The 27,441-nt window shown below is 51.3% G+C and overlaps 7 annotated features.

Moving 5' to 3' along the window:
• Positions 7,851–8,761: an enhancer, noted in NCBI's record as "H3K27ac-H3K4me1 hESC enhancer chr17:48986192-48987102 (GRCh37/hg19 assembly coordinates)". NCBI's record gives its function as "activates a minimal SCP1, AML or CMV promoter by ChIP-STARR-seq in naive and primed H9 embryonic stem cells {active_cell/tissue: H9 hESC(naive and primed)}" and the evidence as "EXISTENCE:reporter gene assay evidence [ECO:0000049][PMID:30033119]".
• Positions 8,288–8,582: a silencer, noted in NCBI's record as "tiled region #609; K562 Repressive non-DNase unmatched - State 7:EnhWF". NCBI's record gives its function as "represses a minimal TATA promoter and a strong SV40 promoter by Sharpr-MPRA in K562 cells {active_cell/tissue: K562}" and the evidence as "EXISTENCE:reporter gene assay evidence [ECO:0000049][PMID:27701403]".
• Positions 8,762–9,671: an enhancer, noted in NCBI's record as "H3K27ac-H3K4me1 hESC enhancer chr17:48987103-48988012 (GRCh37/hg19 assembly coordinates)". NCBI's record gives its function as "activates a minimal SCP1, AML or CMV promoter by ChIP-STARR-seq in primed H9 embryonic stem cells {active_cell/tissue: H9 hESC(primed)}" and the evidence as "EXISTENCE:reporter gene assay evidence [ECO:0000049][PMID:30033119]".
• Positions 15,232–15,361: an enhancer, noted in NCBI's record as "active region_12394". NCBI's record gives its function as "activates an Ori minimal core promoter by ATAC-STARR-seq in GM12878 lymphoblastoid cells {active_cell/tissue: GM12878}" and the evidence as "EXISTENCE:reporter gene assay evidence [ECO:0000049][PMID:35858748]".
• Positions 16,250–16,309: a silencer, noted in NCBI's record as "silent region_8715". NCBI's record gives its function as "represses an Ori minimal core promoter by ATAC-STARR-seq in GM12878 lymphoblastoid cells {active_cell/tissue: GM12878}" and the evidence as "EXISTENCE:reporter gene assay evidence [ECO:0000049][PMID:35858748]".
• Positions 16,756–17,675: an enhancer, noted in NCBI's record as "H3K27ac-H3K4me1 hESC enhancer chr17:48995097-48996016 (GRCh37/hg19 assembly coordinates)". NCBI's record gives its function as "activates a minimal SCP1, AML or CMV promoter by ChIP-STARR-seq in primed H9 embryonic stem cells {active_cell/tissue: H9 hESC(primed)}" and the evidence as "EXISTENCE:reporter gene assay evidence [ECO:0000049][PMID:30033119]".
• Positions 16,933–17,102: an enhancer, noted in NCBI's record as "experimental_47230 CRE fragment used in MPRA reporter constructs". NCBI's record gives its function as "activates a minimal promoter by MPRAs in K562 erythroleukemia cells, with activity observed for both the introgressed and non-introgressed 17:48995359 variant alleles {active_cell/tissue: K562}" and the evidence as "EXISTENCE:reporter gene assay evidence [ECO:0000049][PMID:34662402]".

Raw genomic sequence — 27,441 nt, forward strand, 5'->3', positions numbered from 1 at the left:
TGCTATACTGAGCCCGGGGCCCCCCACGACACCCTCCCTGGAGGACGCCATTTTCCAGCAATAGGTTTGTTGCCTCATTGACTCAAAGGGAAGGCTGAAGTCGCACAGAACCTCATACTTCATGATTTGGAAGGAGTCAGCGTTGGCAACCTTGATCTTCTAGAAACCAGCCATTTGGGGTATTTCCTGGTGGAGCCTTTTTAATTTAGAGCCCACAGCATTCAATTGATCCCAGATGTCCCAGCTCTTCCTTGAACCATCCAGGTATAGTGCATGCTCCTCCCCACCTACCCCATCCAGGCTGGACCCAAGGTCTCTCAGATCTGACTGCTTCTCTCCACCCCTACTGCCCAGGCTTTAGTTCAAGGACAACTCAGTTTCCCTCTGGATTATTCCTTGGTCCTCCTGGTCTCCCATGGCCCTCTCACTGTCTCCAAAGTAACCATCCTAAAGTACAAATATCTCCTTGTTACAGCACTCCAGGACAACCCCAAACAGCCAGCCCCTCACATCTCTTGCCTTTGCACATGCAGTTTCCTTCTCTTTGAATTTGTGTCTCTCTCTTGCCCTTACACGTCCATCATTGCTTGGTCTGAAATTGGTCCTCTACTCTCTTAAATCCTGTGTGTCAGTGTCATTCTGGATTTGCAGATGCATTTTGGACAGGGATCGTATCTCTGAATTTTTTTTCTCTAAGGTCTATCCCAGATAAGGCCCATATATAGATGTTCTAGGTGATAAGGTTCTAAATGTTCTATGTGATAAAGCTGCTGCTGTATATGTGGCTAAGTGTTGAAACCAACACTCTCCAATAAAACTTTACGTGGCGATGGAAATGTCCCATATCTGCCATGTCCAATATGGTAGCCACTAACAACATGTGGCGATTGAGCATTTCAAATATGACTATTGCAGTGAAGGAACTAAATTCATGGTATTGAATTTTAACTTAAGTAATTTAAATTCAAATAGCCACATCTGGCTAGTGGCTACCATATTGGACAGCACAGGTTTGGCTTAAGCCAACTTGGAATAAGGGTTAGTTAACAAGACTTCCTGCCTGTATCAAATTCAGCACCTCACAGCTATTTTTCAATCTTTGAATAAAATAAATAGCAGTAACAACAATATTTAATCCAGGATTAAATATTGTTTTGATAGCTCAGACTGGGGCAATGTCACAGGCTTATCATCCCAGGCAAACTTTTGATAGTCCAGGGCAATTTCATCTGTTTAAAACATGCTGAGGCTGGCGGTATCTTGCCAGCAAATGCCTTCTAAAGAAGGTGGAACATGGCCGGGTGTGGTGGCTCATGCCTTGTAATCCCAGCACTTTGGGAGGCTGAAGCAGGTGGATCACTTGAGGTCAGGAGTTTGAGACTAGCCTGGCCAACATGGTGAAACCCCATCTCTACTAAAAATGCAAAAATTACCTGGGTATGGTGGTGCATGCCTGTAGTCCCAGCTACTTGGGAGGCTGAGCCAGGAGAATCACTTGAACCTGGGAGCCAGAGGTTGCAGTGCACTGAGATAGCACAGCTGCAACTGCACCCCAGCCTGGGTGATAGAGTGAGGCCCTGTCTCAAAAAAAAAAAAAAAAGAAGAGGAAGAAGGTGGAGCATGATGAACCCAGCTAAGTGAGCTGCTCCAGGCATGAGTAGTGGTATTCCCCAAGCAGGGGAGAATGGTTTCTTAGGTATCCTGAAATGTGAGAGAAATTATATCCCGAGAGTCTTACAGGGAAGATCTGAATTTATCCTAAAAAGGTTATTTATTGGCCCAGCCCTAAAAACTTTAAAACAGGGGTAGAAATAGGACTAGTTCAGCAGATGTGCAGTGCCAGGCTGTTAGGTTTCCTTAACTCTTGCTCCAAGGGTAGATCCTTTCTTCTGCCTGTACTTTCTTGGCAATTAGCAATGTGTCTGAATACAAAAAGAAAGCTTAATCCTTTCTTTCTGGGCAGCTGCATCCTTTGAGTTACGGAAGCCCGGAGCTCTCTGGTGACTGATGGCAAGGTGGAACAATGGGTCAGACAGGGAGGTGAGAGCAGGGGTAGGACACTGACAGCAAAAATACAAAGTTCTCCAGCTCCAGTGCCTACCCCAGTTATCAGCCTGTGCTAATGAAAAGTGACGACTCAGGAAAAGAAACTCTCAGCTGCCTTGGCCTCTAGAAGAAATGGTTTTGATGGGGGTCGGGGAGCAGCAGGCTGGGGAATAGGATGAGGCTGCCAGCATGGCAGTAGCTCTGTTTAAAAACACCCTTGGCCAGGCGCGTGGCTCACGTCTGTAACCCCAGCACTTTGGGAGGCTGAGGTGTGTCAATCACCTGAGGAGTTCGAGACCAGCCTGACCAATATGGTGAAACCCCATCTCTACTAAAAATACAAAAATTAACCGGGCGTGGTGGCATGTACCCGGCACTCAGGAGGCTGAGACAGGAGAATTGCTTGAACCTGGGAGGCAGAGGTTTCAGTGAGCCGAGATCGCATCACTGCACTCCAGCCTAAGCCACAGAGCGAGATTCCGTCTAAAAAACAAACAAACAAAAAAAAAACAAAACAAAAACAAAAACACTCTCACAGGATGGGAAGAGCTAACAAAAGGAAAATAATTATAGCATTTTAGCCAACACTGTATCTGCTTAAACTCACATATAAATAGATCCTTAAGCCCTTCTCTACTCGGCATAGCCACTTTAACCTCATCCATGAGCAGGGACTTTGAGGGGGCAGGAGAATGTTTTCTGGTGAAGCAAAGAACCGCCCCCACAACCAAAGCACCACACAAACTTACGAAAAAAACAAACAACAACAACAACACCAAAAAAACAAACAAACCCTGCTCAGTCCCTGGGGAAGAGAAAAGGCCAGGATATGGAACAGGGAGGGAAGGGCTGCATTCAAAATCCCGTCCTACCCATACATTGTAAAATGGTACAACCACTTTAGGAAACAGTTGGGTGGTTTCTTTAAAAGTGAAACATACACTTACCATGTGACCCAGCAATCCCTCTTCTAGTTACTAATGCGAGAGAAATGAACACATGCATCCACATGATGATTTATATACAAATGTTCATAACTGCTTTACTCATAATAGCTGCCAACTGGAAACAACCCAGATGTCCAAACACAGGTGAATGGCTACACAAACTATAACATATCCATATAATGGAATATATTACTCTGCAATAACAAGGAAAGAACTATGATAGACGCAACAATATGAACGAATCTTGAAATCATTAGGCTGAGGGGGAAAAGTCAGAGGTAAGAGTAGAGTAGAAACTGTATGGTAACGTATACAAAACATGCAAATCTGATCTGTCATGACAGAAAGCAGATTGGTGCTTGCCTGGGGCCAGGGAAGGGGCATGACTGACTCAGAAGGGGCCACAGGGAACCTTTCAGGGTAACGGAAATGTTCTCTACTTTGGTTATTGTGGTAGGTATGCAAACATACAACAGTGCACCTAAAATGGGCACATTTTGTTGTGCGTAAGTTAGACCTCAACAAAGTTGACTTAAGAAATAATTCCTTCCCGAGAGCCTGGCCTACGAGGTGCGGGCAAGCAGAGAGGCCTCCCTCAAGGCACTGGCGATACTGCCAAGCTGGAAAAACGGCTCGCTGGCAGCCTGGAAAAGGCCGTTCTCTGGCTCTTGATCCTTAAAAGGCTGGAATTTCTGGCTGAACAAGAAGGCCTGGGCCCAGTCCCCAGGGGGCAGCTTCTCCTCAGCTCTGGGCAGGGTGCCCGGCCACCCCTCACACAGGTGCTGGCTTGCTGCCCAAACACAGGACCAGGGGGCCTGGGCAGGCCCCCACAGCCCTGCTGGGGGAAGAGGAGGAGACCAGCCCGTAGCCAGCCCAGCCTCAGCCCCAGCAGCCTGTGGCTGGCAGGGCCTCTGCCTACACAGCAAGCTCTCAGAGTGGGGGGATGGGAGCAGCGCCCAGGCACCCACCCAGCTCCCCCAACCCAGAGTGTCACCGGGGACCTTTACCCTGAATGGGGATGGTTTTAACAGCCCCTAGAGAGGGTCAGGGCATCTGTGACAGGACAGGGTCTGAGCCCCGGACTTTCACCTCTCAGCCCAGTGCCCTTTTCCCCGCAGCAGCCTAAGCTCCCAGTGATTCTCTGGGGGAGGGATTTCTGATGGGGCTGGTTCTAAAGAAAAGCTCTCCAGGGCAGGGCCTGTGAAACCCAAGGACTGACTGCTGCGGGGGCTGGATAGCCTTTGGGGACAGAGGAGGGGAGAGGGTGGCAGAACCTAAACAGCTGCGGCCGCTGCTTTGTCCAAGGGCAACCCAGCCTCCCAGGTGTGGCCATCACCTCTGCCTCTGACCTGAGTCTCAGACCAGAGCCAGCTGAGGCCTGGGTGCTCCCTTCAGCCCCTTCTGGTTCTGCAATTCAAGGCCCAGTTAACCCCCTGTGGGGTCATAGAGAAGCTTGCAGAGGGTGAAGCCTGGGACCTGATTCTGCTCACCCTGGACTCTGGCCCAGCCAGTGCCTTCTGGCAACAGGGACCCTCTGGGGTCCCAGGAGCCCTGGAACCTCCTCTGCTCCCTCTGGCTCTGTCTCCTGCCCCACCCCCTTCCCTGTTGCCACCTGCACCTGTTTTTCCAGCCTTGCTCAATCTCTCCAATCCACAGGCTGTTTGTTCCCAGGGGTCGCCTCCCCTTATCTCCCAGGCAGCTGTTGGCCATGGCCTGAAGGTACAGAATTCATTGTTAACTCTTCAGCTTCCCTCACACACTCCACCCCCAAAAACCATAGCAGCAAAGAGCACCAGGGAGGGCCCAGGTTTGGGGTCTGGGGTCTGGCCCTCCCTGCTGTGTGACCTTGCCTCATTGTGTGACCTTGAGCTGGTCACTTACCCGCTACACTTCTGTTTTCTCATTGGTAAAATGAGAGCATTTTACCTTTTTATTACCTCAGCTCTGTACCTCTTCCCCCGCCACACACACACACACTCACAAACTCTTTCTCTCTCTCTGTCTCTCTGTTCTTAAAATGTAGGGCTATCAAGTAACACTCATCCAATAATTATTAATTCAGGAGCTGATTTTTTTTTTCCAGACAGTCTCGCTCTTGTCCCCCAGGCTGGAGTGCAGTGGCTCGATCTTGGCTCACCTCTGCCTCCCAGGTTCAAGCAATTCTCCTGCCTCAGCCTCCCAAGTAGCTGGGATTACAGGCACCTGCCACTACGCCCGGCTAATTTTTGTATTTTTAGTAAAGATGGGGTTTTCCCATGTTGGCCAGGCTGGTCTCAAACTCCTGACCTCGTGATCTGCCTACCTCGGCCTCCCAAAGTGCTGGGATTACAGGCATGAGCCACCATGCCCGGCCAGGAGCTGATTTTGTATGAAGCAAAACTAATCAGAGCTTCTGAGCAGCATGTCCTGGTTTTGTTTCATACAAAACAGAATCCTGAATGAGTAATTACTGAATAAATGTACATTTATCATGTCCCTCATAATTCCAGCAATGAAACTTGACATTTTAGTTAAGCCAGTGTACCCTTCTCACAGATAAATATTCTATTTTCTGTTAGGATTTTATAAAGATAAAAAACAGCAACAGGTCTCTTTCTCCCTGCTCTTTTCTGATCTGGGGTGGGGTGTGGGGAGCCAGGAACAGGTGATCTTCCAGACCCCTTGTATTGCTGGGTTAGGAGGCCCACGTGTGTTCCATTGGCGAATACACTAGTCAATCATTAGGCCCATCATCAGTCCCACCTACCAATGCCTGGCCCCCATCAAAGACCAGTACAGAATAGAGAAGGGCCAGCAGGACCGGGGCAGAAAACCCTGCTCCCATCACAAACCCTTCTGCCTCTGCCCGCCCAGCCCACAATGAACACCAGAATTCAGAGCTACTGCCAGTGGAAATGGGAAGGGACCACCTCTGTGAGCACTTTAGGATTTCTCCAAGGGATGAGAAAGACTGGTTAAGAGTTCAGGGGGGCACAGTGGCTCACACCTGCAATCCCAGCACTTTGGGAGGCCGAGGCAGGAGGATCACCTGAGGCCAGGAGTTTGAGACCAGCCTGGTCAACATGGTGAAACCCCGTCTCTACTAAAAATACAAAAATTAGCCAGGCATGGTGGCAGGCACCTGTAATCCCAGCTACTGGGGAGGCTGAGGCAGGAGAATAGCTGGAACCTGGGAGGCAGAGGCTGCAGTGAGCCAAGATTGCGCCACTGCACTCCAGCCTGGGCAACAGAGTGAGACTCTGTCTCAAAAAACAAAAAAAAAAAAAAAAAGGCTGGGCACAGTGGCTCACGCCTGTTATCCCTGCGCTTTGGGAGGCTGAGGCGGGTGGACCATGAGGTCAAGAGATCAAGACCATCCTGGCCAACGTGGTGAAACCCTGTCTCTACTAAAAAAAAAAAAAAAAAAAAAAACTCTACTAAAAAACAAAAACAAAATACAAAAAAATTAGCTGGGCATGGTGGCATGCGCCTGTAGTCCCAGTTAGTCAGGAGGCTGAGGCAGGAGAATCACTTGAACCCGGGAGGCGGAGGTTGCAGTGAGCCGAGATTGCACCACTGCACTCTAACCTGGGGCGAGACTCTGTCTCAAAAAAGAAAAAAAAATCCATTCCCTACTGGACAGTCTACCATGATGTCTTAGAGGTGCCTCAAATTCAATTTGTTTAAACCAACCCATTGTTCTCCCTCTGGGGATGGGAGGGATGCCCCTCTGGCTGAAACCCCAACCTATACATCTGACCGTCAATCACCCAGGCTCTGCCTTCTGACCCTTAACTCCCCTCAGCCCCTGTCAGGACTTCTAGGCCAGAGCTCCAGTTCCTAATGGTGTTTTCTCCTTCACCTCCCTCAGCCCAGTCCTCACCAGGGCCCTCATGGCTCATGGTGGGGGCCTCCCATCTTCCCACCCATCACCACACTGGAGCCAGGGGGCTTTTTCACATCACCTGTGATTGATCATCCGTAGCCTTGATCAAAACCTTCAGTGACTTCATGCAAGGACACAACATGTATGCGAGACAATGGGGAGAAAAACAGGGAGTAACTAAAGTTCTTGGGGGAAAGGTGGTGAACCACTAATCACTCCAGACCTTTAATTTCACAAATGAGAGATATGAGACTCAGAGACACAGAGTACCCAGCTCAAGGTCACCCAGCAAGGCAGAGGGAGATGGTGTATTTGGGGGACAGTGACGCTCTGTCCCACCTGGCATGCTGTCCACCCCCCATGTCCTCACTGGGCACTGTACTCCAGCCACATGGAGCTTCTGTGTGCCCTAAACTTGAACAGCTCTTTCACTCTACTTCCTTCCTCATGTAGGCATGTCCTTCCTCTCCTCCCCACATCCACAGTCCTAGCCACCCGCCCAGGCCCAGCTCAAGTGCTGCCTCCTCCAGGAAGGCTTCCCTGAATGCCTATGCTGACCTCCTCTGCATGCCTTCCCTCCCATCACTCAGCATTCTCAGGTTTGGTTAGAATCATTCTTGGGCATGTCCTCCAGACAGGGTGGGACTTGTCTTACTCACCTTCATATCTTCAAGAGCACCCTGCACAGTGCCTGGCCTGTCACAGGTGCTCGACAGGTATTTCTGGAAGGAATTATCATTACATTTATATTGTCATTATGCATGTCTGGCATTGACAGTTGAGTCAGCCACTGTGCTCAGTGTACGAGTCAGAAGACATGCGTCTTCAAAACAGTCCCAACGATTAGCCCCATTTCACAGATGAGGAAACTCAGGCTCAAAGGAAATTGATTGCTTGCCCTGGGTCCCACTGCTGGAAGGAGGCAGAGTTGAAACTTGACCCCAAGTGCGGCTGATTCTAAAGCCTGTGACTCTTTGTTTTTGTTTTTGTTTTAAAGACGGAGTCTTGCTGTGTTGCCCAGGCTGGAGTGCAGTGGCATGATCTCTGTTCACTTCAACCTCCGCCTCCTGAGTTCAAGCGATTCTCCTGCCTCAGCTTCCCAAGCAGCTGGACTACAGGTATGTGCCACCATGCCCGGCTAATTTTTATAATTTTAGTAGAGACGGAGCTTCACCATGTTGGCCAGGCTGGTCTCAAACTCCTGACCTCAGGTGATCTGCCTGCCTCTGCCTCCCAAAGTACTGGGATTACATGTGTGAGCCATAGCATCTGGCCCAGCCAAGCCTATAACTCTTAATCTCTGTGTTCTCTCTGCAGCAGGGATGACGGCGCTCCTGGAGGCTGGCTGGGAAGCTGGTCAGGGTCCCAGGACTCTGACACCCCCAATGGCCCTTGTAGCCTTGGGGAGTCCTGTGATCCAAGGCTGGAGGACTGAGTCCCCTCCAGGTCTCATAGCAGACGAATAGCAGCTTCACCCAGGCCTGTTTTGTCGTGGCCCCATTCAGAGGCCGCCCTCCTCTGTGGTTTAGAGCATGCCCTGGAATCCCTAGCACAACCAGGTGACGAGAGTTCCCCGCTGGCCCCCTGCCGCGGGAACACAAAGTACCTTTGCACATAACCTTTCTTTGTCCTCTGCTGGTGACGGCAAATAGGGCAGGCCCAGGGCAACGTGGTAAGGTGGCAGAAGTTTGTTTTGGACAGTGTTTGCAGCTTCTCTGTTCCCTTTCCACCAGGGGTTACCTCCTGCTGGCTGACCCCTTCCTGTGCTGCGGGCTGGAATATAGGGTTTAACCCTGTTATAACCCAGAGGAACACAAAAGGAGGAACATCAGGCTTTATGGAGAGACTGGAAATGAAGTGGAGGTTTTCCTTGCTCATGAAACCTGGCTCACCCTACAGGTAGTCCCAAAGAGAGCTTGTGATTTTCTTTCCCCTTTGGTCCCCCGACCCCTTCAGAGCTCTCTGGGAAGCTATGCTCTCTCACTGCTTTCCCTCCCCTGATCAGAGTCCCTGTGCCAAGGCTCCTGGATACTGGGGCTGGAAAACCTCCTGTCCCTTCCACCACTCCTGTGCCCTCCAGGGAAGGGGTCTGGGGTCTCGGGGCTCACCCCCACCTGTGTGCCAGTCCCTGTGCTAGGCCTGCACAGACATCAGCTCGCTGATCACTACGAGAACCTCAACTCTTCTCCCCATTTCATGAGGACACCGAGGCTCAGAGGTGTTCGTGATACTCAAGATCACACTGCCAGAGCGTGAGTTACTGGGATTTGAACTTTGGTCCGTGTGGCTGCAAAGCCAGTGGCTGCTATGATTCTCTTTCCACTTGCTGCAGCCCACGTCCCTCTGGGCAAGTCTGACACCCTAGCTGCCCTCAACTGCCTGGCCCCGTGGCGTCCCAGAGGGCGAGGGGAGCACAGGGACTGGGCACAGAGGCCAGCTGGGGTCAAGGCAAGGGGGCTGCCCAGCACAGTGGTTCTGCTCCAGAGGTGCAGTCAGACTGCCTGGGTTGGCTCATGCCTGGGTCTGTCATTGTGGGCAGCGTGACCAGCCTAAACCTCAGTTTTCTCTTTTGTCACCTATGTGCTAAAAATACTTATTTCTGGAGATTCTTGTGAGGATTAAATGAGATCTTCCAAGCCAAGTGCTTTGCATAGTGACGCAGGGTAGGTGCTCAAGAAATTTTGTTGTCTGCCTGTGGTCTGGGTGGGGGCAGGGTGGGGCTGCGATGGTGAAGAAATGACACAGAAACCCACAGGAAACTTCATCATCTAGATGGTACATGGATGGCACATTCAAGGGAAGTAACGAAACGAGAAGAAAAAACTTTTACATTTTGGCTGAGCAAAGGCAACAATATAATTACCATCATTTATAAAAACTGCCTCCCATTAATGTCTAATTCCCACAAAGCGCAACAATGATTATCTCATTAACTATGTGTCAGATTAACTTTGTTGCAGGTTTTATTTGATTAAAACAGTGAACTCACAACACGTATTATGCTCATTCTTCATAGTTTGTGGTTTCTGGAGCATAGTCCTCTGTTGGCAACTTTTTCTAAATTAGAGGGCACGTTTCTGGGTAAGTTGTTTTTTAGAAATTTAGTTATCTGGAGTCCCAAAGCACCCAGGGTGGAGGGAAGGGCTCAGAGCTTCCTATTAGCTTCCACCTTTGGATTTGCTAAGGCCAGTGATGAAAGATGAATTATGTATCCATATTTTCAAGACTTTGGGGGCTGGGCTTGGGCTTGGGCCGGGCGCTGTGGCTCATGCCTGTAATCCCTGTACTTTGGGAGGCCGAGACAGGTGCATCACATGAGGCCAGGAGTTCGAGACCAGCCTGGCCAAAATGGTGAAACCCTGTCTCTACTAAAAATACAAAAATTAGCCAGTCATGGTGGCAGCACCTGTAATCCCAGCTACTCAGGAGGCTGAGCCAGGAGAATCACTTGAACCCAGAAGGTGGAGGTTGCAGTGAGCCAAGATCATGCCACTGCACTCCAGCTTAGCCAACAGAGCAAAACTCTGTCTCAAAAAAAAAAAGTCTTATTCGAATATTTTACTGTGTGCATTTGTATTACTTTTGTGACATATATAATTTTTTAATGTCTGGAAGCGGAAGATACTGTTTTTATTCCCTCCCCCTCCCCCTGGCCCCGATATATTGAAAACTCTAAAGTTGTTATATCCTGGATTCTGTTTCCTCCATGAGGAGAAAAGTTTGTTATCTGTCATATGCACTTAAGCACCTGATGTTTTTCTCATTTTCTGGTAGGTGGTGCAGACCCCTGTCCCCTCCTCCTCACCCCTACCTTAACAGGGAGAAGCTGCCTGTGGACAGCTCCCAGCTGCACAGGGAAATCGCTGAAGATTTCTAATAGGGAAGTGTCACACTTTGCCAACTCTGGAGAAGACAGAATAATTGGCTGGAATCGCAGACCGGGTCAGTGGTACAAGAGAAGGCAGAAGCTCGGTGGGGAGGGGTTGGTTCCCCAGCATTTGGCTGGGCATCTCCCACAATGCCAGACCAGAATCATTGTATCCTGAGGCTCGGGCCATTCCGTGGCCCCCGGTCATCCCCAGGAGCTGGAGTATGTGTCTGCTGCACTGTGGGAGAGCCCCTGCACCCACACTGAACCCAAGGGTGACCCTTTCCCTGAGATCAAGTGATGTAGAGGCTCAGGAAGAGCCCAGCTGCAGTGCTCAACTCCACCAGAAGGGAAGGGGAGGGAAGGGGGCAACAGAAACCCCTGTTGTCATGCAGAAAAGGAAAGCTTGTCTGGGAAAGGGTGTCCGCACTGTCCTTCCCCAGGGCTGTGCAGACCGATGGTCTGCAGGTACAAGTACCAAGCAGAGAGGGCCTGCTCTGATTCACACTTAGCTCTCTGGGAGAGAGACAAGGGCAAGCTTGGATCCTGGAGGACCAGAGAGAAAAGCCCCTGACCTAGGAGGTAGGAAGGGGAGGGCATTTATTTGTTCTATCTGCTCCTGATCAAAATGTAGTCTCCACATGTGGCCTGTGGAAACAGACCCCTCACCTCCAGCTCAAGGCTCCTGTGTACTGTCCTCCTCTAGTCCCTGTCTCTGTGGTCTAGCTACTTTGCCTCAGCCACTGGGCATCAGATCTGGGGCAGCATGGTCTAATAGAAATATAACCCGAGCCACACATAGAATATAATATTTTCTTTTTTCTTTTTTTTTGAGATGGAGTCTCGCTCTGTCACCCAGGCTGGAGTGCAGTGGCGTGATCTCGGCTTACTGCTTGCTGCAACCTCTACCTCCTGGGTTCAAGCAATTCTCATGCCTCAGCCTCCCAAGTAGCTGGGATTACAGGCGTGCACCACCATGCCTGGCTAATTTTTGTATTTTTAGTAGAGACGGAGTTTCACCATGTTGGCCAGGCTGGTCTCAAACTCCTGACCTCAGGTGATCCACCTGCCTTGGCCTCCCAAAGTGCTGGGATTATAGGCATGAGCCACTGCACCCAGCCAGAATATAGTATTTTCTAATAGCCACATTTAAAACAAGGAAACAGGTAAAATTAATTTTTTGAATATATTTTGCTTAACCCAATATGTCTAGAATATTATAATTTCAACACATAAACCATTTAAAAAGTAAAGAGATCTTTTATATTCTTTTTTCATACTAAATTTTCAAGATCTGGTTGGTATGTAGTTTACTCTTGTGGCACATCTCAGTGTGGACTAACTGTTCCAGTGCCCATGGGCACATGGCCATGGCTACCATATTGGAGAGTGCAGGTCTGGCACTTTCCTTGTGCCCTCCACTCCCCACAGGGGAGGTCAGAGGCCTCCTCAGAGGCCCCTGTCCAGACCCCTTTGCCTTTCCCTGACCCAGGAGCAAATCATCCTTTGGGTCGGGGTGCCCATTTATGTTTCCTTATTGGACAGTGGGGAAGGCAAGACTCCTGGACTGGGCATCAGAAGGCTCTGCCACTCAGCCTGCTGTGTGACCTGGAGCAAGTTACCTCCCCTCTCTGGGCACTGGCCTCATTCTCTGTCAGATGAATTTTCATTAGATTTGTGACTTTCAAACTGTGGAACCTGTTTTTCCAAGGCAATCTCATGCCGAACCCCCCATGTATAAATCACAGGAGAGTGGAGCTGCTCAAGGCACTGTGAGCTGCTGCCTCCAGCTCCCAGCCTGGAGATCACTCAGTGGCCAGGCCCTGGAGCACAGAGGGTGAAAACCTGGCACTATCAGTCTGCAACTCACATTTTCAGACCTAATTTTCTTTTTTTTTTTTCTTTCTTTCTTTCTTTCTTTTCTTTTCCTTTTTTTTTTTTTTTTTTTTTTTTTTGAGACAGACTCTTGCTGTGTCGCTCAGGCTGGAATGCAGTCTCAGCTCACTGCAACCTCTGCCCCTCTCCCAGTTCAAGCGATTCTCCTGCCTCAGCCTCCTGAATAGCTGGGACTACAGGCGCCTGCCATCATGCTGGCTAATTTTTGTTTTAGTAGAGACAGGGTTTTGCCATGTTGGCCAGGCTGGTCTCAAACTCCTGACCTCAGGTGATCCACCCGCCTCTGCCTCCCAAAGTGCTGGGATTACAGGCATGAGCCACCGTCCCGGCCTCACACCTAATTTTCTAAACCTGCAAATGACACCGTAGGTTGCTTATGGGCCCGTGTACATAGTAAAAGTATGAAAACATGCATAGGAAATGTGCTGGTTTCAAGTTAGTGGTCTCCTCTGATGAGGGAGGAAGAAGGATGGGCTAGGGATGTCACTTCCGTTCTATTGCCAAAATTTAATTTTTGATTGAAAGAGACCTAAAGAGAATAGAGTGAAATATTTACATGTGTCCAAATTTAGTGGTGGGTTTGTGGCTGAGATATTACTCTGTACTTTTCTGTATATTTGAAATATTTTACAACTTTAATTTGAAACTTTAAGAAGGACAAATAAATATAATCTGGTCTCACCTTAGGCATAGAATTTATTTATTTATTTATTTATTTATTTATTTTAGACGGAGTCTCGCTCTGTCTCCCAGGCTGGAGTGCACTGGCGCAATCTTGGCTCACTGCAACCTCCACCTCCCAGCTTCGAGTGATTCTTCTGCCTCGGCCACCCAAGTAGCTGGGACTACAGGCACGTGCCACCAAGCCCGGCTGATTTTTATATTTTTAGTAGAGATGAGGTTTCACCATGTTGGTCAGGCTGGTCTCGAACTCCTGACCTTGTGATCAGCCCACCTCGGCCTCCCAAAGTGCTGGGATTAGAGGCGTGAGCCACCGCATCCAGCCAGGCATAGAATATTTTTAAACGGTCAAGTAAAATGTAACTTTCCCTCCCCACAACACACTTGGTAATCCCTAAGACCCCCCACCGCCCCGACCATCTCCCTGCTCTGGTAGTTCAGGAATGTAGGCGCTCAATTGACCAAGGGTCAGGAGTTCTGAGGAAGCAGACAGCAGCTGAGCATTTATTCAATAAGTATCAACTCTACCTTTGGGGTATCAGGTATGTGGGGGTCCCAGAGAATTGAGACCCAACCCTGGTTCAAGAGGAGCCTGAGATGGGTGAGACCTTTCATGGTTAACCTGGCCTCAGGGATGGCTGTGAGGGGCCGAGGGAGGAGGAGGGATCTGCACCTCTCTGGCTCCCATGCCCCCAGCCTGCGGTCTCTGGGTGGAGGGAGGCCCCTCCTCTCCATCACTCACTGCTCTTTCCTCTCCTATCGCAGCTTGACTCTCCAATGCACTGCGGATTGCCTTGGGCCCCTCTGGTCGAGTTTTGGGGGGCTCAGCTCACCCCTCTGAATGTGTGTGTGTTCTCCCCTGGGCCCCATTGCTGGTTCCTCCCAGTCACCGTTTCCCCCACATCCACTGATGAGGCCCCAAGCTCAGAAAGTTCAGGAGACCTGCCAGGGTCACCCTTCTGGGCTGGGCATGGCAGGAGGAGGGTTGTGGGAGGGCAGCTATGTACCAAGTCCAGCGAGGTTATTTCACCCCAGCAAACAGGTCCTGCTGGTTTGCCATTTGGAGAGAGTTTGGCCCCAGTTCCCATGGACTGGTTAAATGGTAACTTGTCTTCAGTTGTTTGTGGAAATGTGACAGGGCACAGGCCACCAGCTAGGCCGGAAAAGCCGTGTGAGGCCCAGCTAGCTCTGGGCATTGGACTGCAAGCCATGCTTCCCTCCCCTCCCCTCCCCTCCCCTCTCCTCTCCTCTCCTCTCTTTTGAGACAGAGTCTCACTCTGTCACCCAGGCTGGAGTGCAGTGTCGCGATCCTGGCCCACCACAACTTCTGCCTCCCAGGTTCAAGCAATTCTCCTGCCTCAGCCTCTTGAGTAGCTGGGATTACAGGCGCCCACCACCACGCCCAGCTAATTTTGTATTTTTAGTAGAAACAGGGATTTACCATGTTGGCCAGGCTGGTCTCAAACTCCTGACCTCAAGAGATCCACCCGCCTCAGCCTCCCAAAGTGTTGGGATTACAGGCATGAGCCACTGTGCCTGGCTTTTTTCTTTCTTTCTTTTTCTTTTCTTTTCTTTCTTCCTTTTTGTCCCCCACAAGGTTTCACCCTGTTGCCCAGGCTGGAGTACAGTGGCATGATTACGGCTCACTATAACCTTGAACTCCCAGGCTCAGGTGATCCTCCAGCCTCAGCCTCAGCCTCCCAAGTACCAGAAGTACTAGGACTACAGACACATGCCACGCCTGGCTAATTTTTTTTTTTTTTTTTTTTTGAGACTGGGTCTGGCTATGCTGCCCAGGCTAAGCAATACTTATTTTCCTTATTTTTATTCTAATAAGATTCCAGAATCTTCCCCTTTCACATGTCTTCCTAGCCAGATGAGTAAGAGCAAGGAGGAGTGGTGATGTTAATAACAGAGTGACACAGCCTTTGAGGGCCTTTCATTGGCAGATTTCTTAACCAAGAGCAGCTGTGCCCATTTTACAGGAGGAAAAACTGAGACAAAGAGGAGTGAGGTCACTATGAGTCACTGGCCTTTCTGGCCTAACTCAGACTAGGCTCAATATGGCTGAGCCAAAGAGACAGAGCAGGCTGGGGGTGGGGATGGAAAGAAACTCTGGTTCTTCAAAGAGAGTTGACTGTCCTTGCTGGCCTTAGACATCACCCCTTCCCTTTATTCAGTGCCTGCCTGATTAGAGCTGGACATACAGGATCTCATCTGCTCCCACAACCACCATCTAAAATAGGCAGAGCAGGTTTTACTTGCCCTGTGTTAGTTACAGACAAGGAAACAGAGTTACAGACAAGGAAACAGAGTCAGCAAGATTAGGAGCCTTGTCCAGTTCCACAGCTGGTCAGGCCCAGGGAGACCAGGCCGCTGGACACCAGCTCAAGATGCAAGCTTATCTGCGATTCCCAAGCTTATACCAGGCCTGACTCTGTTTCCAGCGAAAGAACCCCAGGACATAATGTTTCTGAGCTGAGTGTTAGATGGATCAGGGGCTAAGGATTTGGGAGGACCTTTCTTGAAATTAACAGCTGCTTCGAGAGTGAGGCTTCCGACCCGCCCTTTCTTTATTTCCTCTGGGCCTGGTTTGGCAGACCTCCACCCCCAGCCCACAATCCCAGATGGACAGAGGTAGTTCTCTCCAGCTTTTGGAGACCTCGGGGAGGAAGAAGCCTCGCTCACCCGCTCCTAGACAGTGTGTGTGAGCCCTCAGGCACCCAGGGTGGGCAATGCTTCCCAGGCAGAGAGGGCGTGCAATGCAAGTGAGGTGTCCATTAGACAGACCCAGGGCACTCCAAGCCCCATAGAGTGACTCACTTTCTTTCTTGGCACCCCCAAACGACTCTACCTTCCTCAGCAGGTCTTGTGAAGGTGCAGTGACACAATGTGCATGAAAGAGGCTCGAGCAGGACCTGATGCACAGTAGGTGCTCAACAGCTCCGCCCCGCCCCGCCCTGGCCCCCCGCCACAGCTTCCTGTGCCCCTGTGCTGTGATTTCAGCCTCAGAGGAATGGAAGACCCCAGGATTTCCCCAGGAGGGAGTCTGGCATCCTCGCCATCGTGGTTGGCTCCTGTGCTCACCCATCGAGGCCACTCAATGCTGCGCTGGGGTGGGAGATTCTTTATTGAGGAATCTGCAGAGGTCAGGGGAAGGCAGGAGCCAGGGCCACAGGGGAGGCCGGCCAAGGACAGCTGCCCACAGCAGGCCACAGCTGGGGCCCTCCCCACACTGCATGCTGGCTTGTTTTTCATGCAAAACCATGTTATGTAAATCAGTGCTGGGTTGAGCACACTCAAGTCAGAGTCACGAATTGGGTCCCCCACCGCCCATCCAGGGTGTCTGAAGGCCTAGGCCAGCATGCCCATTATTCAGCCAGAGCAGGTGGCCGAGCCAGCTGGGCTCGTCCCCAAATACTTTCAGGGAGGGACGCTAGGCCTAGGACCCGGGGTCTACAGCCCTGAGGGGAGGGGGCAGAGGATGCAGCCTTGGAAAGCCCAGTACCTGGTGAGTAGGGAAGTGTCCTCCCAGGTGGTTCCAACCTTTAACCCAATTCCTCTGTCTTGGAGGCAAAGGGAAAGGACGTGGCTGATCCCCGCAGAGCCCAAGGCCAGCCACCATCCTTTCATGGAGCCAGGCAGCTTCGAGAAGCCACTGAGGCTCCTTGTGCTCCTTGTGTGGGCACAAAGTGTGGGCTTCTGGAGGGGGTCCTTGGACCTCTATCTCAGCAGGGACATTCCTCCTCCCCCCGCCTTCCAGACCTCCTGCTCCAGATGCCTGGCTTCTCCAGGGCACCCCGATGGGTGGCTCTGCCACCCCAGGACACTGGACTGGGGCCACCCTTACAGAACCGGTTCGAAGCCAAACAATGGCACGTCACAGTCCAGCTGAGCCGGAGGCCTCAGCAGGGTAAGTACAAGTGAGGCTGTGGCCAAGAGGGGCATAGGTGCCAGGGACTCAGAGGCGGGCGCGCGCAAGTGCCAGCAAGCCCTCACTGCCTAACATGGCAGCCCCATGGCTTCCTCTCTTCCCCGTGACCTGACTGCAGCTTTGAGGACAGCACTTGCCCTCCCCTCCCAGGCAGCGGGCCCCTTCCCTGGCCCCAGAGGTGAAGGAGGGCGACTTCCCCAGGGAGAGGAAGCAGAATGACGGCCTGCAGCTTTCCTGCCGCGGGAGGGGAACTTCAGGTCAGAATGGCCGTCTCAACCTCATGGAAGCCTCCCTCTGGACTGACGAGTGACCGCTGTTGTGGTGGGAGGTCCACCTTCCCGCAAAGGGAGCCAAGAGCCCAGAGGGGTCACTTGGGCCCAGGGAGGGTGGGACACAGACGTCTGGGTGGAAGTTGGACAAAGTCTGGCAGAATGGGGCACCAGGGCACAGTAAGACCCTGGCTGGGACACTGAGTGGGGACAGTCCCCAGCAATTCCCTTGGAGATAAAGAGCCTGCGGCAGGTCCCAGATCCTGACAGAGGACAGACAGGAGGGGACAAGCTGGTGGTGGGGGTGAGCTGGCTAGGCAGAAAGCTCTGTGGACACCTGAGGCCTCCTCCTGGAATTGCCCCAAGCCATGTGGCTAAGGCCTAGGGAGACCCTCACCATGTGGGGTGGGGTGGGGTGGGGGCCCCTAGCCAAAGCTGGGAAAAGGCAGAGCCTTCAGAGAGCCTCCTAGGGACAGCAGCAGAGAGGAAGCCTTCGAGGCCTTTCCAAGCTCCCCGCTGCCCGGCTCTCCTCCTGCCCAGCACACCGTGGGTGGACTCCAACCTACAGCTTCACTGATCTCAGAAGGTCCCACCCTCTCCCGCCTTGTGCTTCTGACTGTTTATTTCCTGCAGAGGAGTCAGTGTTACTGCCACTGAGAACAGAGATGGCTCCACCCAGAGGGCCCACCCTTGGGGCACAGGGGACCCTTGCCCATACCCCCTGCACCCTGGCTCCATCCTAATGCAGGGATATGAGCTTGGGCCTGTGTCACAGCTGCTTCCTGGGCCTCTGAATCCTCATCCTTGAGCTGAGGGTGTGAGACCGGAAAATCCAAGCCACCATCCAGCCCCAATGTCTCCCCATCCCATGACTCTCTTCCCCAAATAACACATCTCCCCAAATACCTCTCCTCCTCCCCAGTGAGAGGAGGCGCAGGGGAGGTTGTTGGATAACTGTGCCTTCTCCTCCCCGAATCCCAGCCTCTCCTTCTGGATCCCACACCCAGGGGCCCAGCAGTCACGGGGCTCAGGGTGCTCCCCAGCCTTTACAGTTTACCCATCCCTGCACAGTAGCCATGATTTCATTTCCTCCTCACTGCAAGGTAAAGATCATTAGTTCTCTTTTATAGGTGAAGAGACTTAGACTCAGACAGACCCTGTGTCTTGCTCAAAGTCACCTGGCCAGTCAGGGGTAGGGCTGGGTTTCGAACCCAGGGGCAGGCCCTCTCCGCCCCCCGGCATCGGTGCAGAGCCCTGGGTCGCCCTCCTCCAAGGTCGTTGTGGTGTGAACAGCCAGGCGCCTTCATGCAGGGCCTGACTGCAGCCGCCAGAGCCTGGTGATGTCAGCATTGCCATGGAAACCCTTCCCCGGGCGTCGGGCAGGACCAGCCTCCCCAGCGCAGTTTCCCTTTGTGTGGACTTTGCAATGCGTTGCCAAGGCAGTGGGGCCTGCTGGGCGGGTTGGCATGGGGTGGGGAAGGCAGACAAAAACCCACACTGCAACTGGCAGCTCACAACAGGGCCCACGGTGCTTGTGGGAGGGAGGGGCTGCAGGCTGGTGGCCTAAGGCGTGAGAGTCGGTGGGCAGGGGGTTACCCACACACCTGCTTAGGACCCCCATCTGGCAACAGCCTTTTGGCGTCTTTGGTGCTATTTTGGGGTCCTGCTGCCTAAGAATCACCTGGGCCTGGGTGTTGTGAAAAAGGCAGACCTGCTGGGCCGGGGTGGAGAGGAGTCAGCAGTTTAAACAAACCCCCAAGGCAATTCGCGTATGCCACCAATTCCGAGGACACCTTCAGGGAAGAATAACATTTATTGAGCACCTAGCTATGCCAGGCAGGCCCTTCTGCCTATTTTCTTTCTTTCTTTCTTTCTTTTTTTTTCCGACAGAGTCTCACTCTGTTCCCCAGGCTGGAGTGCAGAAGCGCGATCTCAGCTCACTGCAACCTCTGCCTCCCGGGTTCAAGCAATTCTCCTGCCTCAGCCTCCCGAGTAGCTGGGACTACAGGTGTGTGCCACCATGCCTGGCTAATTTTTGTATTTTTAGTAGAGACAGGGTTTCACCATGTTGGCCAGGCTGGTCTCTAACTCCTGACCTCAAATGATCCGCCTGCCTCAGCCTCCCAAAGTGCTGGGATTACAGGCGTGAGCCACTGCACCCAGCCCCCTTCTGCTTATTTGCTCTTGCATTATAATCCTCACAGCAACCTTGAGTGGGAGAAGGGGACAGAAGAAAATTTTTTGTGTGGTTTTTTAAAAAAATCCTCATTTCCCAGAGGAAGACGCTGAAACTCAGAGAGGTTAAATCTCTGCTTGCCCACGGTCACTCGGCATAGATGTGGCTGAGTCCAGATTCTAACGCTGTAGCCTCCTCGCCATCCAAGCTGGGCCTGTGGCCTGGCAGTGTTCGCTTCCTCCTCTTGCTGGTTTTCCAGGAAGAATCCTAAAGTACCTTTGCAGAGTGGGCCAGCTCTGTCCGAAGCCTCCCACGAGCTCCCGGATCTAAGAGGGGATTGAGCCAAGCGAGAATCTCCAAGCCCAGGCCCCTCCCCAAACTGGCTGCCTGCAGAGGCTTAGAAAGCCTGCCCAGCCTAGTAAGGAAAACCAATGCCCTGGCCAAAGTCTCTCCTGTCCTCCAGCCACCTCGGCCCTCCAGCCACACCCTCCTCTGTCCTGCAGGCTGCCCTGGCCTCCGTGCTCCCTGAAAGAGCTCCTGAAGCCTCTGCTTCCTCCCCTCGCCCAGGGATAGGTGGTCTCTGACCCAGTCCACGGAGATGCCCCCTTCTTGGAAGTTTCCGGGAAGAGAAATTCGGTCGCCTTTGCTGGCGATGTTGCAGAGCCTCCTCTTACAACCGACAGCCTTCCTGTGTCCGTCCTCCACACTTCTGCTTTCTCTGAAGCCTGATTCCTTAAGAACTGTCTCTCTCTTTCTTTCTTTCTTTTCTTTTCTTTTTTTTGAGTCTTGCTCTGTTGCCCAGCCTGAAGCCCAGTGGCACAATCTCTGCTCACTGCAACCTCTGCCTCCCAGGTTCAAGTGATTCTCCTGCCTCGGCCTCCCTAGTAGTTGGGGTTGCAGGTGTGCACAACCACACTCAGATAGATAGTTTTTGTATTTTTAGTTCAGACAGGGTTTCACCATGTTGGCCAGGCTCGTCTCAAATTCCTGACCTCAGGTGATCTGCCTGCCTCAGCCTCCCAAAGTGCTGGGATTACAGGTGTGAGCCACTGCGCTTGGCCTCTCTCTTTCTTAACAACCTCTCTGAGGGCTCAAGGGGAAGGAACCCTACCCTTCAGCCCCGGGGCCCTATTTTGCCCGCTGACTCTGAAGCTGAGACTCTGCCTGATGCCACAGCCCCAGGATCCAGGCCCCTCCCTCTCCACCTGCATCTCCTTTATTTCTCATTTATTTATTGATTGATTTTTTTTGAGACAGGGTCCCGCTCAGTCACTTGGGCTGGAGTGCTGTGGCACCATCACAGCTCACTGCAGCCTCAGCCTCCCGGGCTCAAGCGATCCTCCTACCTCAGCCTCCCAAGCAGCTGGGACCACAAGTGCCCACCACCAGGCCCAGCTAATCTGTAAATTTTTTTGTAGAGAGAGGGTCTTCCTATGTTTCCCAGGCTCGTCTCCAACCCTTAGGCTTGAGTGATCCTCCTGCCTTGGTCTCCCAAAGTGTTGGGGTTACAGGCACCATGCCCAGCTGTGAATCTCCCTTACTAAGGTCAACAAACACTAGTGACCTCCACTGAGAGCTGGTGAGAACTAACCTCATGCCAGGGATGCCAGGAATGGTTGGATGGTGAATGGTGTTGGGGTTCAGCTTGTGCTGGGCACACCTAAAGCCAGCCAGGGTTCCAGTCCCAACATGACCAGGCCCTGCCTGTCCCTTCATTGAACAAGTATTTCCTGAAGTCTGTGCTATGTAATAGGAAGCGGTTTTTTTTTTAAAGTCCCCAAACAAGCCAAGGATGGAGGAGAATTAATAAAAGACAAACAATGGAATAACTGTGACCCCTGTGTCCCCATTGTAGAAGAGTACAACCTAGTCACAACCTAGTCGTAGTTCATGTTTGACTTTGGGATGAAGAGGAGGCATACTCCTGAATGCTGACAATGGTCATCGCTAGCTGGTGGCCTTTTAGGTGACTTTTATATACATTTGCTGCGCTTTCCAAACTTTCTATGCTGTAAGATGGAATTTTTATAAGCAGAGGAGCCCTGGCAAGCCTGAGTATTTGTTGAGAGCCTCTTAAGGAAAGCTCGTTGTCTACAGCCTCTGGGTCTGGAGGATGGGGCAGAGGTCAGCTGGTCCATGCCTTCTCCTCCCTACAGGGGCACACCCAGATCAGTCGATAAATTGCCTGGCCCCACCTGTGCAGGCTGGGTGAGGCTGCCTGGGTGGAGAGCCTGGGCCCAGGGGGCCCCTGGAGACTCTGACCCCAGCCAGAGTCCATAACAACCACAGGACCAGAAGGCAATGAATGGGTAACATCCACCATGGGCCTTATAACCTCCTCCCCGGCCCAGCCAGGCTGGGAAGCAGAGGAGAAGAGATGGGGGTGCTGGTTGTCTCAAGGAGAGGGACCCCAATGTGGAACAATAATGCCTCTTGCACAGGCTGTTGGGGGAATTAAATGTGATGACTGGCCCACAGGCCACAGAGGAGGAAACACTCAGTAAACATTGTTGGGCATGTGGATAAATGCACAAGCTGGCCGTGCTCCCTTATGGGGTTGGAAATCCTCTCCACACTGCAGAGTTGTAAAGTATCCTCTCCTTTACGATCTGGGTGGGAAGCACTCTCTGCTCCTGAATTCCCCCACACAGGCTGCAGCAGGATGTCCATGGCTGAGGCAGCCAGAACCACTCTTGATATCTGGCTCCCGAAGGTCTCTCTGTGCCCTGGGGCCCAGGCAGCCCCTGTTGGAAGTGCCACGTCCAGTCCTACCAGAGCCCAAGCTGCAGCCACAGAAACCAAAAGGATGATAGCTTTGTGGGAAACTCAAACATTAAAAAGAATAAAAAATTTAAAAACTGTGAAGGCCAAAAGAAGTCCATCTGTGGGCTGCGATCTCTGTTCTAAATTTTAGCATTGATCTTACTAAAATAACACCTTTGCATTTTTATCAGGGCCTTTCTGTGGAATGATTTCCTCCAAAGAGAGAGACCCCAGTGGTGGGAAGCTCAGGCCCTTTGGCTGTGTCCAGGTCGCACTAGGCATCTGTGTGTCCTGTGCTGACTGACCAGCTGTGCTCCCCAGAATCCATCTTCAGGCACCAGTGGATCTGAGATTTTGGCAACAGTCCAGGGCATTGAGGTTTTGCCAGAAAATAAGGTAGAGGCCTCTCTGGAAGCAGAGGGCGTCAGCTATGCCCTGTGTTTGCAGAGATCATCTGCTACAAGGCTGTGGGTTTGGGATTCTGGGGCAGGTGGAGTCCCAGAAACATCCTCTCCCCAGGCTAAGCAGATTAAGGTTTCCACCTGTTCTTCCCTTCAATAATCCCTGCATTTGATTCTCTAACTAAACAGGAACCAGGCCAGGTAGATGATCATGATTTCCATTTTGCAAATGAAGAAACTGAGGCTCAGCAAGTGACTTACCCGAGGTTGCACAGGGACTAAGTTCAAGCCCTAAGAATTAGGACCATTTTATAGCAGATCTCCTAAAGGCCACAGGTATCTTATGATATTCTACCCCAGCAGACTTTGTGGCTCTTGTGGCTAATGAAATTTCTTTCTCTTTGTAAACTGTATTTTTTAATCATTATGCAAACTTCATGTTAATATCTATTACAAGAACCCTCAAAGACCAAAAGATAATCCATAACCCATGAACATCATTATATTGTATTTTCACATTCTACCCTCCAATCATCGTTCATAGAAAATCCTTTTCCTTGCCTCTGAGATACACAGTTTCAAATTTCTAAACTGTAAAGGTGCATTTGTTTGTTTTGAGATAGGGTCTCACTCTGTTGCCCAGGCAGGAGTGCAATGACACCATCATGGCTCACTGTAGCCTCAGCCTTCTGAGTTGAAGCGATCCTCCCACTCAGCCTCCCAAGTAGCTGGGACTACAAGCACGCACCACCATGTCTGGCATTTAAAAAAACTTTTTTTGCTGGGGAGAGATGGGGGTCTCACTGTGTTGCCCAGCTGGTCTCTAACTCCTGGATTCAAGCGATCCTCTAACCCAGGCCTCCCAAATTGCTGGGATTACCAGCATGAGCCACTGCACTGAGTACAAATGTGTCTCATAGTTGATGTATACACACAATGTGCCTGCAAATGTATGCATTTTCTTTCCACCAAAAAAAACCCTGTCTTTGTACATCAATTATGTGTCATATAATCAAGGAAACACGATAGATCATTTTATAGAGATGTAAGAAAATCATCAATATGATTTGCTTCCCACTTCATTCACTTCCCTTTATATTCCCTGGCATTGGCCAAGGTTTTAAAATAAAGACAATTCAGTATTTCCTAATCCCTGGCCAGCTGGCCACCTGGCCACCTGCCACCCCAGGCACTTGGGCACTGGAACTAACTTTAATATAAATCAAAACAGCAAGAGGATGTGTGTAAGCCCCTGCTCTAGAAATTCCAAGGGGAAATGGGAAGGAGAGAAACTAATGCTTAATGAGCATCTGCTATGTGCCAGCCTCGTGCGGTGGAATTGGAGGAGTGAGGAGGGCTTCTGTCTCCAGACTGTAAAGGAGAGGATGTTTCACCATTCTGAAGTCAGAGGGAGAAACGTTTCCAACTGAATTAAGAGAGAAGAGCCCAACTTGCAGTGTTCCCTGGCCCCTGGTAATTAATTAATCAAAGTAAGGTTTTCTTTTCAAAAAGTGTCTTTAAATTGACCATCTCTTGTAAAGCTGGTTATTTTCAGATGTGCCATGTTCCTGTAGGCACCAGCTTCACCTCACACTGCCTCGGTCTGAGATTGTGCGCCTGGAATTGTATTGAGTCAGAATCACCTGGTGGGCTTGTGAAACTGCAGCTGGCTGGGCCCCACCCCCAGAGATTCTGATTCAGCAGATCTAAGGTGGGGTCTGAGATTTTGCATTTCTAACAAGCTACCAGTGATGCCGATGCCACTGGTGCACTTTCGGATCACCTGAGGAGCTTTTTTTCAAAAAGACTGGTGCCTGGCTCACACCCCCAGGATCTGATTTCACTGGCCTGGGTGCAGCCTGGCGTTAGGAATGCCATGGCTCCACAGGTGATTCTTGTGTGCTGCCCAGCCTAAGGGCCACTGGGTTTACCGAAAGAAGCCAGCAGACATGATGAGCATTTCCTGAGCCTATGAGATTCCTTGGATTTCAGGGACAACCTCCTAAGTCTTCCCAGATCAGGGCCTGCCAGGCAGAGAGTCTCTGAGGGATGGAGGGAAGCTGTCCTATATGAGCCGTACTTCCACACCTGTATCTTTCATACCAAGTCAACTGGTTGCTAATGCTAGTGGGGAAAACCATGTGAACTGATTAGTAAGATTTCTGGCTTCTCTGGCCAAGCTTCTGGACCACATGGCTGTTGCCAGTGCTCCCTCAGATGGCACACACTTGCTAGCTTGCCACAGTCCCCATCACCCCCTAGTGTGTTACCCTCCTTGGCCTGAGACTCACTGATTTGAGCTACGTGGCGCCATTGATTGTCCGTCTTCCTGTTTGTGGTTGGGTGTGAATGGACAGGTGCTTTAGGAACGGGAACTCAGATCAGTACTTTCAAAGGAAGACAGGAGACACGGGAAAAGGACCCTGTGTGTGCTTTGAGGATGATGGTGACCTCAGGCCCTGCTCTTAGCCTAGAAGGGGTGGGGGATGTTAGACTGAAACCCAAGAGACTTGTAATCTCACCCCAGCTCTGTCGCTAATTTGCAGAGTGACTTTAGGTAACTAACACCGTCTCTCTATGCCTCAGTTTCCTCATCTGCAAAGTGATTGAGGGTAAGACATGCTGAGCACCCATGTCCTTCCTATTCTAGGAGCTGGAGAGAAAAGAGTCCAAGTCTTATAACTAAGAGTTGGGAGGAGGGGGACCCTGAAGCCTAGGGAGGGAGACAGCTGGGCCCCAGGATGTGGGCTGGGAAGGAGGCACGGCTCGTATCCAGTTTAACCACAGGCCCAGCCATCCCCAGCTCCTCAAAGCTGGACTCTGCGCCCCCACCCATGTGTGCAGGTGAAGCCTAATTCTTATACCAACTCTGATGCGAGGCGTTGTGGGTAGTGGTTGAACCCTGGACTCTGGAGTCGATGTGGCCCAGTCCTGTGGCTCTGCCACTTCCTGGCTGTGTGGTCTCAGGCAGGTTACCAACCCCTCTGGAGTCTCAGTATCTCACATGTAGCATGGGCTAGTAATGGGTAGCTGTGGGGATCAAATGAGCTGTGCCCGGAAAGCATTTAGCTCTGTGTGTGGCAGATGCTCAGGGGTCACAATCATCATCATTAAGAGGAGGCACTCAAGTTGTGCCTGGGGCCTCGTTTATGCCCCAGAATCTCAGCCCCAACCCCAAGATGTGTCTCTTTTTTTTTTTTGAGACAGAGTCTGGCTCTGTTGCCCATGCTGAAGTACAGTGGCACGATCTCACTGCAACCTCTACCTCCTGGTTTCATACAATTCTCCTGTCTCAGCCTCCCGAGTAGCTGGGATTACAGGTGTGTGCCACCATTCCTGGCTAATTTTTGTATTTTTAGTGGAGACAGGGTTTCACCATGTTGGCCAGGCTGGTCTCGAACTCCTGACCTCAGGTGATCCACCAGCCTCGCCCTCCCAGAGTGCTAGGATTACAGGCGTGAGCCACCGCACCCAGCCCCAAGATGTGGGTCTTGATAATAGGGATCCCACTGCCCTCCTAAATTCCTATGATTGAGCCCAGCTTCCCCGAAATGGGGGTCTGGCCCAGCCCAAGTTCACTGAATGGCTCTCAGACTCCCTACAGACCTGAGCTCTTGCAATCAGGTCACCCTCTGCCCCTGCCCTAGTTTCCTCTGCCAGCTGCCACACTCAGGTGCCCTGAGGCATCCGGGACATGCAGTCAGGCAGTATAATCTCCCCTAGCTGTGTAACCTTGGGCAGGTTACTTAATCTCTCTGGGTTTTTGTAAAAGGGGAATGATAACCTCCACTAGATCCTAAGCTCCTCGAGGGAAGGGATGGTGTTTGCTTTATCCACCAGTGTATACCCAGCATCTAGTCCAGTGCCTGGCACATAGTAAGTGCTCAAAAAATATTTGTTGGATCAATGAATGGGTGGCCTAAGGACTAAATTGAATAATATATGTGAAGCACAGTGCCAGGCACACAGTAGCCCCTAAATTAATGTTTCTTGGAACTGAACCTATCTGATTCCCTGAACTTCTGTGTTTTCCTTTGTGCTTTCTTGTGGCCTACATGTTGGGACACATTCCAGGAACTTGGACCATGAATCGTTAAGACCTTGGTCATCACACTTGGCCCCTACAAATACCTCTCAATTTCAGCAGTAGAGCCAGCCCCAGGGCCTGTCCCACAACCCTGGCCCACTTTATCTATCCTAACGAACTCAACAACCACGTCTGTGTGTACATCCATCCACCCATCCACTCACTCATTCATTCATTCAACACATTTTAAGGAGTGTCTACTGTCTCCATACTTCCTCCCCAGGCTCCCCCAAAGCTATGGATTCCTACATACCATGGGTTACTTGATGTCTCCACCTGGGCCTGCCATGATGTTGTAAAAGGCCAAACCAGACCCTCCTTTTCTCATACCCACTTTTCCTCCAGGGCTCTCTAAGCTGATGGTGCCACTGCCAGCCTGGTCACCCAAAAGGGGAGCCCAAGAGTTGCCCATAATACCCCCAGATGGGCACCCAGGCCTGACTATTTATTTCCTATGTTCTTCTCAGATATCGTCCCTCCCAAACTTTTCTGCTCCATTAGCCTGGGG

This window comes from Homo sapiens, chromosome 17, assembly GCF_000001405.40.
Source record: "Homo sapiens chromosome 17, GRCh38.p14 Primary Assembly".
Lineage (NCBI taxonomy): Eukaryota > Metazoa > Chordata > Mammalia > Primates > Hominidae > Homo > Homo sapiens.